At 43.0% G+C, this 16,653-nt stretch overlaps 1 annotated feature.

Annotated features, from left to right (window-relative positions):
- Nucleotides 2,436-2,730: a silencer, noted in NCBI's record as "tiled region #7468; HepG2 Repressive non-DNase unmatched - State 4:PromP". NCBI's record gives its function as "represses a minimal TATA promoter and a strong SV40 promoter by Sharpr-MPRA in HepG2 cells {active_cell/tissue: HepG2}" and the evidence as "EXISTENCE:reporter gene assay evidence [ECO:0000049][PMID:27701403]".

Below are 16,653 nucleotides of genomic sequence, written 5' to 3' on the forward strand. Positions count from 1 at the left end.
GGATTACAGGCGTGTGCCACCACATCTGGCTAATTTTTTTGTATTTTTAAGCAGAAACGGGGTTTCACCATATTGGCCAGGCTTGTCTCGAACTCCTGACCTTGGGATCCACATGCCTCAGCCTCCCAAAATGCTGGATTACAGGCATGAGTCACAGTGCCTGGTCAGAAATACTACTCCAAATACAGTTACATGTTGCACTTTCATTCTGGTCCTACCTACAGAGGTTGTCAATACAGGAATCGCATCTGATTTTTTCCCCCTACTGAACTTTGCTGTCCACCTAATTGCAGAAAAAAATTTAAGTCTGACACCATTGTGTTTTGTAAAAAGGAAAGGCTTTTTTGGTGTGTTCTTAATTTTTGCAAATAAAAAATTAATCCAGAAACTAGTAACTGCCTCAGAAGAGAAAAATCAATATTCATTTCCTGACTATTTCACTTTAGACCTCTCTGAACATCACAATTTCTAGGAAGAAAAATATATCTGGGTTACAATTCCATCCACTAATTCTGACTTTGGGCAAGTTGCTTACATTCTTTAAAACATGTTTCCTTTGTTTCTTTCTTACTTTCTTTTTAAATATAGAAAGTGGGAATGATAATGGTACAAACTTCACAAGATTGCTGTGAGGATTAAATTAAATCATCATCTATTAAGTTGGTTAATACCTGCCATAGTTGATAAATTCTCAAGGAATATGAACCTCGGCCCTAAATACCATATTCCTATGATGAATTACTAGGGGGATACAAATAAACCTGTCCCATAAAATGTATTGTATCAACAAACATTCCTTATTGATCTTGGAGGAATTTGAGGTACATATAAAAGATACTAAATATTTTATAAATTAGAGGAGTACAAATAATTACATAAAAAGAGACTTACATCCCAAGGTAGATACCTACAAAAGTTTAACTAAAAGAACCATGAGTACAACAGTTAAGAGGACCAAATTGGATTTTTAAAAAGTATAAGAAGGAAATGTGATAGGCACTTACAAGTCCAGTTTTTAGCCGGGCACAGTGGCTTACGCCTGTAATCCCAGCACTTTGGGAGGCTGAGGTGGGCAGATCATGAGGTCAGGAGATCGAGACCATCCTGGCCAACATGGTGAAACCCTGTCTCTACTAAAAATACAAAAATTAGATGGGCGTGGTGGTGCACGCCTGTAATTCCAGCTACTCGGGAGTCTGAGGCAGGAGAATCGCTTGAACCCGGGAGGCAGAGGTTGCAGTGAGCCGAGATCATGTCATTGCACTCCAGCCTGGGCAACAGAGTGAGACTCCGTCTTAAAAAAAAAAAGAAAAAAAAAAAAGTCCAGTTTTACCCTGGAGTTTTCACAACACTGTAAGCAAGTGCTTTCAACACTGAAAACAGTTTCTGCCAGAAACCTGAAGTTTGTGAGTTAAAAATTTCTTTCTTTCTTTTTTTTTTTTTTTTTCTGAGATGGAGTTTTGCTCAGGCTGGAGTGCAATGGTGCGATCTCGGCTCACCACAACCTCTGCCTCCTGGGTTCAAGTGATTCTCCTGCTTCAGTCTCCCGAGTGGCTGGGATTACAGGCATGTGCCACCACACCTGGCTAATTTTGTATTTTTAGTAGAGATGGTATTTTTCCATGTTTGTCAGGGTCTTGAACTCCCGACCTCAGGTGATCTGCCCGCCTCAGCCTCCCAAAGTGCTGGGATTACAGGCGTGAGGCACCATGCCTAGCCTCTTTTTTTTTTTAGATGGAGTTTCACTCTGTCTCTCAGGCTGCAGTGGAGTGGCATGATCTTGCCTCACTGCAAACTCCACCTCCCAGGTTCAAGCAATTCTCTTGCCTCAGCCCAGCTAATTTTCATATTTTTAGTAGAGATGGGGTTTCACCATGTTGGCCAGGCTAGTTTTGAACTCCTGACCTCAGGTGATCCACCCGCCTCGGCCTCCTGAAGTGTTGGGATTATAGGCATGAGCCACCGTGCCTGGCCAAGTTAAGAATTTCACTTTGATAGTGAGTGACAGGAGCAGGCGTGGTGGCTCACACCTGTAATCCCAGCACTTTGGGAGGTTGAGGCGGGTGGATCACCTGAGGTCAGGAGTTCGAGGCCAGCCTGGCCAACATGGTGAAACCCTGTCTCTACTAAAAATACAAAAAAAATTAGCCAGGCATGGTGAGGCATGCCTGTAATCCCAGCTACTCGGGAAGCTGAGGAAGGAAAATTGTTTGAACTTGGGAGGCGGAGGTTGCCGTGAGCCGAGATCGCACCATTGCACTCTAGCCTGCGCAACAAGAGTGAAACTCCGCCTCAAAATAAATAAATAAATAAATAAATAAATAAATAAATAAATAAATAAAGATAGTGAGAGACACAGAGCAATTGAGGTCGAGGGAATTACTTTGTCTTGGCCCCTGGGGACTCAGGGCCTCTCTGGGAAAGGAGATGGACTAGATCATGAGCTTCTATCTTTCTTGTGCTTTCTTTATTTCTGATGTATTCCAATATACTTTCTCTATACACATTCGATACGCAAAAGTATTCAATAGTACAAAGATTTGTTTGCACTACGTATGAAAACCTGAAGAACTCTATTTGATTATGAAAGCAGATTTCCCCTTGTTGCTTTTAAGACCTTAGTGCCCCTAGAGGACAACTGGGCAATGCGCATATGAAGGGAAACCTAGATGCTACTTTTATTTTAATTACTGAGATCTCTTTTGTTCTCTACTTATGTATATGTGTTTTAATGAACTGACTGTTGGGAAGTTGCATTTACTCCTTATTTATGTTAATAGAAAAGAAAAGATGCATGGAAAATATCTAATGATGAATGAACCCACTTTTAAAATTTGATACTTGAATTACAAAGAAATACGCAGGCCCTCTTTTGCTATCCCTCTGATATGTTGGGTCCAAACTATAGATGAGGCCTCAAGAAAGGCATGGGCCCCAGTGGGCTGCCTTTTCCAACCGTGATCCAGCCTTCACCATCAGAGGCATCAGAGAGAGACCATGACTGGGGCTTCAGATGAGCAGAGAGTTGACTGTTGTGTAAGGTTTAGGAGGCCATTTTAACACCTTGTAATGTGAGCTTATAACAGTGAACACCAATTAACTCCTAAGGACTATCTTTTCAGCCTGTTCCAGGCCAGGTAATTTAAATGGAAAAAAAAAAGCCTCAAATATTTTTTATTATATCGAACTTCTGAAGATTCTTTCCATCTTGTTTCAGTATTAAGAAGAATTGTGTCATCTTGAGTAATTGATCTATTATAAAGAATGCCGTCAGCCTGGGTAACACAGGGAGATCCCATCTCTACAAAGAAAAAAAAATTAGGCCAGGCGCAGTGGCTCACGCCTGTAATCCCAGCACTTTGGGAGGCCGAGGCAGGCAGATCACGAGGTCAGGAGATCGAGACCATCTTGGCTAACACGGTGAAACCCCGTCTCTACTAAAAATACAAAAAATTAGCCGGGCATGGTGGTGGGCGTCTGTAGTCCCAGCTACTCAGGAGGCTGAGGCAGGAGAACGGCATGAACCCGGGAGGCGGAGCTTGCAGTGAGCGGAGATCGCGCCACTGCACTCCAGCCTGGACGACAGAGCGAGACACCATCTCAAAAAAAAAAAAAAAAATTAGCTGGGTGTGGTGGCGCAAGCCGGTAGTCCCACTCAGGCTTAGGTGGGAGGCTGAGGTGGGAGGATTGCTTGAGCCCGGGAGGTCAAGGCTGCAGTGAACCATGATTGTGCCACTGCACTCCAGCCTTGGTGACAAAGTGGATTTTGTCAAAAGAAAGGAAGGACAGAGAAGAAAAAAATAAAGAGAGAGAGGAAAAAGGAAAGAAACAAAGAAAGAGAAAGGAAAGAAGGAAGGAAACTGATCCACATCTTCATTGTTAGAACTTGGAGGCAAATCTGTGACTTGTCCTTGTGGCAAGTGTTTACCTTTATATAATACATATTTTTAACCTCATTGCCCTTCTTCTTATACTGTTACCTTATTTTTTAATTAGTTAATTTTTTGAGTTGGGTTCTCACTCTGTCACCCAGGCTGGAGTGCGCTGGCACAATCGTGGCTTACTGCAGCCCCAAACTCCTGACCTCAAGTTATCTTCCCACCTCGGTCCTTCCTATCTTGTATTAATTATTTTGTTGAATTTTATACTTTATATATAACAAGGTAGAAAACGAATGGAAGAAGGGAAAGAAGGAAGAGAAGGACGGAGTGAAGAAGGCTTACTAGTCTCAAATGCATACAAAGCAAGACTTGGAAGGAGTCATTATAGCTGCCTGTTAGAAGACGAATATCTTTTTATTGTTGTTGAGACAGTGTGCTGCTCTGTCACCCAGACTGGAGTGCGGTGGTGCAATCTCAGCTCACTGCAACCTCCACCTTCTGGGCCCAAGCAATTCTCCCACGTCAGCCTCCTGAGTAGCTGGGACTACAGGCATGCACCACCATGCCCAGCTAATTTTTGCCTTTTTTTTTTTTTTTTTTTTTTTTTTTTTTGTAGAGGCTGGGTTTCATCATGTTGCCCAGGCTGGTGTCGAACTCCTGGGGTCAAGCAATCCACCCATCTAAGCCTCCTAAATTGCTGGGATTACAGACGTGAGCCACCACACTAGTCCCAGAAGACAAATACCTTGAAAAAGAAAAGTGTGGCAGTGGAAAGAGTACTAGGCCTCCTGTCAGAAGGCCTGAGTTCTTTCCCAGTCCTGCCATTAACTTGCTGGGGAATCCTGGTATATTAGTTGGGGTTCTCCAGAGAAAGAGAACCAGTGTGATATATAAAGAGATTCATGCCAGGCGTGGTGGCTCACACCTGTAATTCCAGCACTTTGGGCGGCCGAGGCAGGTGGATCACCTGAGGTCAGGAGTTCAAGACCAGCCTGGCCGACGTGGTGAAACCCCGTCTCTGCTAAAAATACAAAAATTAGCTGGGCATGGTGGCATGTGCCTGTAATCTCAGCTACTGGGGAGGCTGAGGCATGAGAATTGCTTGAGCTTGGGAGGCAGAGGGCTGCAGTGAGCCGAGATTGTGCCATTGCACTCCAGCCTGGGCGACAGAGTGAAACTGTGTCTCAAAAAAAAAAAAAAAAAGAGAGAGAGAGAGAGATTTATTGTAAGGTATTGGCTTACATGATGGTAGAGACTGAGAGGCCCCATGATCTACCATCTACAAGCTGGAGACCCAGGAAAGACAGTGGTGTAGTTTGAAGGCCCAAGATCTAGAGAGTTGGCCAGGTGTGGTAACTTACACCTCCCAGCACTCTGGGAGGCCAAGGCAGATGGATTAACTGAGGTCAAGAGTTCAAGACCAGCCTGGCCAACATAGTGAAACTGTCTGTACTAAAAATTCAAGAATTAACCAGGCGTGGTGACATGCGCCTGTAGTCCCAGCTACTCGGGAGGCTGAGGCAGGAGAATCGCTTGAACTCGGGAGGCGGAGGTTGCGGTGAGCCAAGATTGCACCACTGCACTCCAGCACTCCATCCTGGGTGACAAAGCAAGACTCTGTCTCAAAAAAAAAAAAAAAAAAAAAAAGAAATAGAGAGCTAACGGGGTAAATTCAGCAAATTCAGTCTTGGTCTGAAGGCCTGAGAGCCAAGGATGCCAATGGTGGGAGAAAATCAATTTTCTAACACAAGCATCCAGACAGAGAGTGAATTTCACTTTTTTGTTCTACTTGGCCCCTTAATGGATTGGATGATGTCCACCTACATGGCAGGAGGCCATCTACTTTACTCAGTTCACCAATTCAAATGCTAGTCTCTTCCAGAAACACCTCACAGATACAGCTAGAAATAATGTTTAACCTTATCTGGGCATCCTGTAGCCAAGTTAAATTGAAATATAAAATTAACTGTCACACTTGGACAAATCCCTTCACCTTTCTGGGCCTCAGTTTCCCTATTATGAAATGAAGAGATTGGATAATATAGTCAGTAAAGTCTCCTCCAGCTTGAAAGTTTTATCGTTTTTTTTTCTTTTAATTTTTTGCTCTGTCTTATGGTGCTGAGAAAGTTTTATGGCTCTAAGCAGGCAAATGAGAAAGGGAAAAGAGAACTTTGACAAACTGGCTACTTTACAAACTGCATGCCACCCCCAGCCTGACCATCTCTGGTTCATGTTCTTTGAGTGTGATAGGCTCTCAGGCAGTAGATTCTTCTCAGCCAGGTCAACTAGCCAGAGTCTTTCTCAATTAGGTTATGTGGAGATCTCTTATACTTACTTAAGTATCTTGAGAAAGAGCTTTGGAAGAGATATCTGTTATAAAGTCTGATGATTTATAAACTGTCATGTATTTGAGGCCACTTTCTCATCACTTTGAGTTTTCAAAATTGGAGTTTCACTCAGGATGTGGAGGAAGAAAAAAAAATGGGATTACTGGAGATAAAATAACAGGCAAGAGATTAGATGTAAAGAGATTTAGATTAAATGTTAGGGTTTGAGAGGAGACTTGAAATGACAGTGAAAGAAAAATTTTCCAAAGCAAAAGAAGAGATATGGGGAGATAAGCAAATTAGTGACATAAGGGATTTAGTTTGCAACATCAGTAGGGAAAAAAAAAATGGAAAAGCAGAGCTTATAATCTTATTTCTTGCTATATCAAAGTGGACATTTGTTGTTTTTGCCTTTCCTCTTCTGGTAACTGTGTTATAGGACCAACGGGTTCATATGCCCACTGTGCAGGACACACCAGTACACTGAGACAGCAGGGGTTGCAGCAAAAAATAGAATTTAATGATCACAAGTCACCGAGCAAGGAGATGGGAGGGGATCCTCACATGTATCTCCCCGAGGAGTTCTGGGCTGGAGTTTTTAAGGGGATCGTAGAGGGCGAAGGGTTGGAGAATTGGGGTCATTGATTGGTTGGGATAAGAGGGATGAAATAATCAGGATATCAAAACTGCATTCTTTGGTGAGTCAGGTCTTTGTGGGGTCCCTCACACCAGTTGACGTCAGCAGTTATATCAGTATGTAGGACCTGAAAGAATATCTCAATTGGAAAACTTAATATTTTTTTCTTTTTTCTTTTTTTTTTTCGTTTTTATTTTTGAGACAGAGTGTCCCTTTGTCTCCTAGGCTGGAGTGCAGTGGCACGATCTTGGCTCACTGCAACCTCCACCTCCCAGGTTCAAATGATTCTCCTGCCTCAGCCTCCCAAGTAGCTGGGACTACAGGTGCCCGCCACCACACCTGGCTAATTTTTGTATTTTCAGTAGAGATGGGGTTTCACCATATTGGCCAGGCTGGTCTTGAACTCCTGACCTTGTGATGCTCCTGCCTTGGCCTCCCAAAGTGCTGGGATTATAGGCATGAGCCACCGCACCCGGCCTGGAAAACTTAGTATTTTGTAACGTTCAATTTGTTACCCGTATAGCAGTTGGGGGAGCTATAATCTTGTGATGGTCTGTGATTCTGAGGCAACTGGCAGCAAACAGCTACGAGGAAGCGGGTCACAGAGTGAGCTGCCTCATGATTAATGCTGAGTATGCTGCAAGCTGAGTTTACTTTCCTTTCTCTCCTTCCCTTTTTCCCTGACTAATTTATAAAGTTCATAGGGACAGTTTCAACTGCATCCCACTGCTCCTTTGGGGAAATGTGGGAAACCCCTTTATTGCAAGTATACCCTACCAGTCATGGGGCTGCCTTTCTTTCTCTCTGTCTTTCTCTCTCTCTTCTCCTTAACCACAGGTATGGAGTGGGCATTTGACCCAGGTGGGGCAATCTAAGCACCCCATCCCTGAACCCAGTTATTGTTCTAGAGGTGGGCACAAGACCCAAGCAGACCCAATCAAAATATTCCTTAGGGTTACATCATAAACCAATTCAATGAACTTTCACTATCTTCAGGGCTATTCTTCAGCGAGAAGCACAAGATGGTCTGACCCTGGTGATCCATAGATGATAGGCAGTTCATTTCTATTTAGACATAGAGCCATTATTCACTTGGTACTTATTTCTAATAGCCTGTCTATGTCTCTGAGGAGCTGGAAGTTAAGTTAAATGATTCCCTCTTTTTCAAGTCACCTAAAGGCATTCCATTGTTTCTCTTGGGATCACTCAGGGTTTCTTAGACTTGGGAGAGCTTTGCTAATGGAGGAGGGATAAGGTGTGGAGATTACAGAAAAAGTGAAGGTCAAAGAATTCTCAACTGTGAGACGCAACAAAAGACACATGTTGTTGCCAAATGCAAAAGAGACTTCTTTAAAATATGTGTCATCAAATTCTGAACTGCCAGTTAAGAGCTATACCTTCAACTCCTCCTAAAATTCTCTCTCCAGTGCACCTGAATATGAAGTTATTGTCATAAATCTCTAGGTGGCTGGAAAAGTCCTTTCACTACCAATGTCAGAAAGAGTGAAAGAGGGTCTAGCAGATTCCATGGAGTAGCAGCCAGAACTGTCCCGTATTAGTTTATTTTCATGCTGCTGATAAAGACATACCCAAAACTGGGAACAAAAAAAGGTTTAATTGGACTTACAGTTCCACACAGCTGGGGGAGGCCTCAAAATCATGGTGGGAGGTGAAAAGCTCTTCCTACATGGCAGCAGCAAAAGAAAATGAGGAAGAAGCAAAAGTGGGAACCCCTGATAAACCCATCAGATCTTGTGAGACTTATTCACTATCACAAGAATAGCATGGGACAGACTGGCCGCCATCATTCAATTACCTGCTCCAGGGTCCCTCCTACACACGTGGGAATTCTGGGAGATACAATTCAGGTTGAGATTTCGGAGGTGATAGAGCCAAACCATATCATTTCTCCCCTGGCTCCCCCAAATCTCATGTCCTCACATTTCTAAACCAATGATGCCTTCCCAACAGTCCTCCAGTCTTAACTCATTTCAGCATTAACCCAAATGCCCACAGTCCAAAGTCTCATCTGAGACAAGGCAAGTCCCTTCAGTCTATGAGCCTGTAAAATCAAAAGCAAGCTAGTTACTTCCTAGATACAATGGGGGTACAGGTATGGGGTAAATACAGCCATTCCAAATGGGAGAAATTGGCCAAAACAAAGGGGTTACAGGGCCCATGAAAGTCTAAAATCCAGCGAGGCAGTCAAATTTTAAAGCTCCAAGATGATCTCCTTCGACTCCAGGTCTCACATCCAGGTCACGTTGATTCAAGAGGTGGGTTCCCATGGTCTTGGGCAGTTCTGCCCCTGTGGCTTTGCAGGGTAGAGCTTCCCTCCCAGCTGCTTTTATGGGCTGTCGTTGAGTCTCTGCAGCTTTTCTAGGCACACAGTGCAAGCTGTCAGTGAATCTGCCATTCTGGGGTCTGGAGGATGGAGGCCCTCTTGTCATAGCTCTACTAGGTGGTGCCCAGTAGGGACTCTTTGTGGGGGCTCCAACCCCACATTTCCCTTCCACACTGCCCTAGCAGAGGTTCTTCATGAGGGCTCTGCCCCTGCAGCAAACTTATGCCTGGGCATCCAGGTATTTCCATACATCTTCTGAAATCTAGGTGGAGGCTCCCAAACCTGAATTCTTGACTTCTGTGCACCTGCACACTCAACACCACATGGACACTGCCAGGCCTTGGTGCTTCCACCCTCTGAAGCCACAGCCCAAGCTATATGTTGGCCTTTTTCAGCCATAGCTGGAGTGGCTGGGTACAGGGCATCAAGTTCCTAGGCTGCACACAGCATGGGGACTCTGGTCCCAGCCCATGAAACCACTTTTCCTCCTGAACCTCCAGGTCTGTGATGGGAGGGGCTGCCAGGAAGTTCTCTGACATGGCCTGGAGACATTTTCCCCATGGTCTTGGGGATTGACATTAGGCTACTTGCTACTTATGCAAATTTCTGCAGCTGGCTTGAATTTCTCCCCAGAAAATGGGGTTTTCTTTGCTATCACAGAGTCATGCTGCAAATTTTCCAAACTTTTATGCTCTGCTTCCCTGATAAAACTGAATGCCTTTAACAGCACCCAAATTACATCTTGAATGCTTTGCTGCTTAGAAATTTCTTCCATCAGATACCCTAAATCATCTCTCTCAAGTTCAAAGTTCCACAAATCTCTAGGGCAGGGGCAAAATGCTACCAGTCTCTTTGCTAAAACATAACAAGAGTCACTTTTACTCCAGTTGCCAACAAGCTCCTCATCTGCATCTGAGATCTCAGCCTGGACCTTATTGTCCATATAGCTATCAGCATTTTGGGCAAAGCCATTCAACAAGTCTCAAGGAACTTCCCACATTTTCCTTTCTTCTTCTGAGCCTTGCAAACTGTTCCAATCTCTGCCTGTTATCCAGTTCCAAAGTTGCTTCCACATTTTCAGGTATCTTTTCAGCAATGCCCCACTCCTGGTACCAATTTGCTGTATTAGTTTGTTTTCATGCTGCTGCTAAGGACACACCTGAAGCTGGGAACAAAAAAAAGGTTTAACTGGACTTACAGTTGCACATGGCTGGGGAGGCCTCAGAATCATGGCAGGAGGCGAAAGGCTCTTCTTACATGGCAGCAGCAAGAGAAAATGAGGAAGAAGCAAAAGTGGAAATCCCTGATAAACCCATCAGATCTCATGAGACTTATTCACTATCATGAGAATAGCATGGGAAAGACTGGCCTCCATGATTCAATTACCTCCCCCTGGGTCTCTCCCACAACACATGGGAGATCTGGAAGATACAATTCAAGTTAAGATTTTGGTGGGGACCCAGCCAAACCATATAATTGCCTAAGCCTGAGCTGCAGACAGGGATAGCCTCAGGTTCCTGAGGGAACATTTTGGTTTGCCTCTCTCTCTCTCTCTTTTTCTGTTACTCTATCTTCTCCTTTAGTTTAACCACAACCACTTCCTAGACCTTTCCATCAAAGATCTGCCATGTTGAGAGAGAGAAGAAAAATAGATTAATTTAATCACAAATAGAGGTGTGTGATGTGAAATGGCTGATATTGTGAAATGACAACTTGTATTATATTACATAAATTTCCCCTGCATTGTTATTGCTTTTTAAAAATGTGTAGTGTGGGAAACAAAAATGTGACCTTATTTCTTAAGTGAAGTTTTGCCACGTGTATCCATAGCTATTAGGTTTAAACTCTTCATGGTTCTTCTTTGGACAACTGCCTTTTACAAACTACAAGGCTGGTAATGCAGAATACATGAAGATTCACATGTCTTTTTTTTTTCTTCTTTTTTTTAGAGACAGGGTCTCATGCTGTCACACAAGCTGGAGTGCAGTGGCATGATCATGGCTCACTGCAGCCTCAACAACCTAGGCTCAAGCTGAGATGGGAGAATTCCTTTGATCCCTTCACAGGACCCTTGTGAAGGGGATGGCTCATTTACTCGCTGCTGTGCACTCAAACCCCTTATGGGAGCGGTAGCATGCAGGTGAGCCGGGGCAAGTGCTTTTGGGCTCTGGCCTCACAGCACTGTCTAGGAGTGTTAAAATGCTCTTTTAGCTTTGCTGTCTGTGGATGGCTAAATGTTAACCAGATCAGAGGAGAGTCAGGGTGACAGCCTTTTACACCCTGCCCTCTTGGTACCTGGGTTCTTGTCCGGTGTCCAGGAAGAATCAGGTTACATAGACTTAAAGGATGGTGAATGCAGGGATTTTATTGAGTGATGGAGGTGGCCCTCAGCAGACAGGGGATGGAGTGGGAAAATATTCTTCCCTGGAGTTTGGCCCTCCCACAACTGATCTCTCCGACTGTCCCCAGCTGAACTCCTCTCAACATTTAGTTGCTTCTTCTCTTCTCTTCTCTCCTCTTCTCTTCTCTTCTGCATGGCCCTGCTGCTCTACCAGTGGATCTTGGGTTTATATGGGCACAGGATAGGGGTGTGACAGGTGAGAGTGGTCTCTGAAAAGGCAACATTTGGGCGTGAAAACAGGAATGCCTGTTCCCATTTAGGGCTGCAGGTTTCCAGGCTTGAGGGTGGAACTTTTGCTGGGGAACTGCTCTCTTCTACCCAGTATTTCCCTGCCTCCTGTCTGTATTAAAGCCATCCTCCCACCTCAGCCTCCCAAGTAGGTGGGATCACAGGCATGAGACACCATGTCCAGCTAAATTTTTTTTTTTCTTTTGAGATCGAGTCTCTCTCTGTCACCCAGGCTGGAGTGCAGGGGCATGATCTTGGCTCACTGCAACCTCTGTCTCCTGGGTTCAAACAATTCTCCTGCCTCAGCCTCCCAAAGTAGCTGGGACTGCAGGCATGCACCACCATGCCCAGTTAATTTTTATATTTTCAGTAGAAGTGGGGTTTCGCCATGTTGGCCAGGCTGGTCTGGAACTCCTGGACTCAAGTGATCCTCCTGCCTTGGCCTTCAAAGTGCTGAGATTAGAGGCATGAGCCACTGCACCTGGCTCACAAGTCTTTTTGCGCTACTAGAACTGGTCTTAAACCAGATGAACAAGATGATACTTTTATGATCTTTCCCCTTCACACTGCCATTTCATTCACTCATTTATTCATATACCCATTCATTCATGCATTTAGGCCAGACACTGGGTGAGATGTTGAATATACTCTCAAAGACGCATAGGCCAGTGGAAGAAATGGACAGTTAATCTAATGATTACAGCACAGTGAAGCAAGGGCTTTGAAGGGTGTATTGTGTGGAGGTTACTTGATGGCAGAGAAGGGGTGTGCAACAGGCTGAGAATTTTTGGTAAGGCTCCCAGGGGAGGTGAGATTTGAAGAACGAATAGTCTCTGGCTCAGAAATCCCTTGTCAGAGATGTATGTGCAAAGGCTGATCTTTGCACCAGACTTTATTTGAATGGCTCCACTTCCTGTTAGTGTTTCTTTGAACAACCACAAAAACAATAGTTTACTATTCCCAGAATTGTGTTTAGTGCCTTGCATACATTATCTTACTTAAGTGTCACAACAGCCTCATGGTCTAGGTTCTGTTAGTGGTCCCAGTTTACACACAAAGAGCAGTGAAAGGGTAAGGCATGGGCGTCTTCCTATGCTCATGGAGTTGGGGTAAGGAGAGGATTTGAGATGAGGATACAGGTAGTCTGCTTCAAGAAACGACTCTCTTTTTTTTTTGAGATGGAGTCTTGCTCTGTCACCCAGGCTGGAGTGCAGCAGCACAATCTTGGCTCACTGCAACTTCTACCTCCTGAGTTCAAGCAATCCTCCTGCCTCAGCCTCCCAAAGTGCTGGAATTGCAGGCATGAGCCACCACACCTGGCCTAAATGGCATAAGATTATTAAATAAAATGTTTTTTAAAAGATGGAGGAAAGGTACCTCTCATAAGTTCTTCCTGCTAACAAGACTGCATCTGCCACTTACTAGCTGGGTGATCTGGGCAAAATACATATCCTTCTATCATTTATAAAAACAATAACAATACCTAGCCCATAGGGTTGTCATGAGAAATAAATAAACTAATATTTTTGAAAGTGCTTAGGCTAGCACCAGGAACATAGTAAGTCTCGCTAAATTAAAAACAAAAAACAAAACCCAAAACACACACACACACAATTTCTGATATAGGGTAGGTGACATTCGAGCTGAGACTTGAAGAAATTTAATTTGCAGAAAAGGTGGGAAGGCATTCCAATTTCTAATTGGAAAAACAGCACTTGCAAACATATGGAGGCATAACAATAACAATAATAATAATATCTATTGAATATGGACAATGCACCAGACCTTTTATATGCTGTGCCTAATTTAACCTTATCAGCAACTCTGCAATGTAGGTTTTATTATCATATAATATAGATAAGGATGGTACAGGTGAGGAAGCTCAAGGACAGAAGTTAGGGTGGGTATTATTAGCTCTATAATATAGTTTAGAAAATTGGGAGGTAAAATGGTAAGAGGCAGAAATGGGCATACAGTTCCAAGTCCGGCTACAGATTTTGCTTGTGCTTGGAGATTTCAATTTCTCTTGGGTGTTGGGTGTAGGAGTCAAATTAGCAGAAAATAAGATAGACAGTGGGCCAGGAGCCAAATCTGGAAGACTTTTCTGGATCATTTTAATTTTAAGGAATGTGGAGTTAATTCTTTAGATAATGAGGAGCTACTGAGGAATTTGGCCTCTGAGGGGCAAGAAAAGTTTTGCATTTTCAAACAATGGCAGTCTAGACTGCATAGTGAAGAAGGGATTTTTAAACAACAGGCTGGCTTGACCCAATAATTCCACTATTATTGGGAATACACCCAAGAGAAGTGAAAAGAGGTATTCAACAAAAATGTGTATGTGAATGTTCTTTCAGAGCAGCATTATTCATAATAGTCAAAAGGTGGAAGCACCCAAAATATTTATCAAATAATGAATAAACAAAATATAAGATAGCCATACAATGGAATATTATTTGACCAGAAAAAGCAAAGTTTTCTTTTTATTTTTTGTAGAGAATTACTGATACATACCACAGCATGGATGAACCTTGAAAACATTATGCTACATACAAGAAGCCAGTCACAAAAATCCTAATATTATATGATTCTATCTATATAAAATGTCCAGAATAGGCATATCTATAGAGATAGAAATTAGGTTTGTGATTGCCTAAGGCTAGAAAGCATAGGGTGTCAGGATCATAGGTAAGTGGTAAGTGATTTCTTTTTGAGGTGATGGAAATGTTCTAATATTGACAACTCTGTGAATATCTTAAAAACCATTGAATTGTATGTTTCAAATGGGTGAGTTGTATGTCAATTATATCTCAATAAAACTATTACCAAAAATAAATAAATAAAATAGGCTGAATACCAGCATTTAGGAGAGAAGGGTTGGTGGGGAGGAACTAACACTGTGAATGAGCCTACCAAATGACAGGCAAAGAATCAGGCGTTCACATGGCTTCTCGCATGTAGCTGAATTCCTACAACGTCCAATGCAATAAGTTTTTTTTTTTTTTTTTTTTTGACACAGGATCTCACTCCGTTGCCTAGGCTCGAGTGCAGTGGTGCGATCTCTGTTAACTGCAACCTCCGCCTCCCGGGTTCAAGCAATTCTCCTACTTCAGCCTCCCGAGTAGCTGGGATTACAGGTGCCTGGCACTGTGCCTGGCTAATTTTTGTAGTTTTAGTAAAGACATGGTTTCATCATGTTGGCTAGGCTGGTCTTGAACTCCATCTGTGATCAGTGATCCACAGTGATCCACCCACCTCGGCCTCCCAAAGTGCTGGGATTACAGGCATAAGCCACCTTGCCCAGCAGCAATAAGATTTTTTAAAATCTTCAGTTCATAAAAGTGTAAAACAGAGTTCATTGTAATTTCAAAATCTTTGCGCTTGGCATTTTCCAGAACACTCTGCTTCTATAAGGCTCCCTCTCAAGACAACTTATTTATTTAGCCCTCTCTTGGGTTCTTATTTATTGCTCATTTCTTATCCTATTCTAATTTCAATTGTCTCTCCAGGCTCTTTTCTAGGTCATTACCCTATTCAAATATTTTAATATATTCATTCAGACTTCCATATTTCTAGATAAAACCCTCTGATACTCTGCTAAAAGAGGTTTTGGTTTATTTTCATACAGCTTGCAAAATAACTTTCTATTGTCCTTTGTGAAAGTTGCCAGTACCTAAATGAAGTCACTTATGTAAAACACGAAAAAGATGGAGCCAGGAGGCCATAAAGGAAGGGCCCTCATGCACGTATACCTATGACAGAGATATCCAAAGAACTCCTCAAAACCACAACATTGCAAACAAGTTGCTGCACAAAGACATTTTCCTAACAATGGGTGTATCCATCAATAAGTTAATACCAACTCCTGCAACAAGCCCCTGTGACCAATGGTCTTTGAAAGCAAATTACCTGGATTTGTCTTTTTTTTTTTAAAAAAGCTTTCCTTTGCCCCAGTCTCTTTTGGTGGACCCATATGGCTCTGCCATGGCACAAGTATCATGAATTGCAATTCCTTGCAATAAACTCTTTGTTTTGGAGAGCCCGTCTCTCTGTTATTGTAGTTGAGACCTAAGTATGAATAGGTCCAGCATTCTTTGATCACACTTCTTTCCTTCCAGACTCTGCGTGCCATTCATGGTGAAATAATTACAATACAGTGTTAACAGGTAATAGGAATTATACCTGATTTTCCCTCCCCTTACTATGCTCTAAGCTCTTTACATATATTATCTCGCAGAGGAACTCAAAAATATTTGTGGGATGAATGTTACGTTTGAAGAAGTGGAGGGTGAATCGGGGAAGACTTTATGTAGGAGGACATATTTGAGCTGAGTCACTGAGAACTGGTAAAAGTTTAATGCAGATAGTGGCAGAGAAGAGCACTGAGGACTAAGCAACACGTTAGAGAGGAACTGAGGTCAAGATCATTGATATTAAGATAAGCTTCAATTCAATTGCTGGCTGAGCCTCTCTCTAACCATGTGACCTCAGTAATTCCTTAACTCTTCTGGGCCTGAGTGCCCTCAACTATAGCATAGGATGGACAGAACATGTCTTTTAGAGGTATTGTAGAAAGAGCTTAGAAAACTGTTAAGTACAAAGTTCTAAGTGTACATTAAGCATTTTTCTTTGTTGTTTTTGTTTGTTTGTTTTCTTTTTGAGACTGAGTCTCGCTCTGTCGCCCAGGCTGGAGTGCAGTGGCGCGATCTTGGCTCACTGCAACCTCCATCTCCTGGGTTCAAACAATTCTCTCTCCTCAGCCTCCTGAGTAGCTGGGATTACAAGAGCTTGCCACCACGCCTGGCTAATTTTTGTATTTTTAGTAGAGGTGGGTTTTC

This window comes from Homo sapiens, chromosome 4 (genome assembly GCF_000001405.40).
Source record: "Homo sapiens chromosome 4, GRCh38.p14 Primary Assembly".
Lineage (NCBI taxonomy): Eukaryota > Metazoa > Chordata > Mammalia > Primates > Hominidae > Homo > Homo sapiens.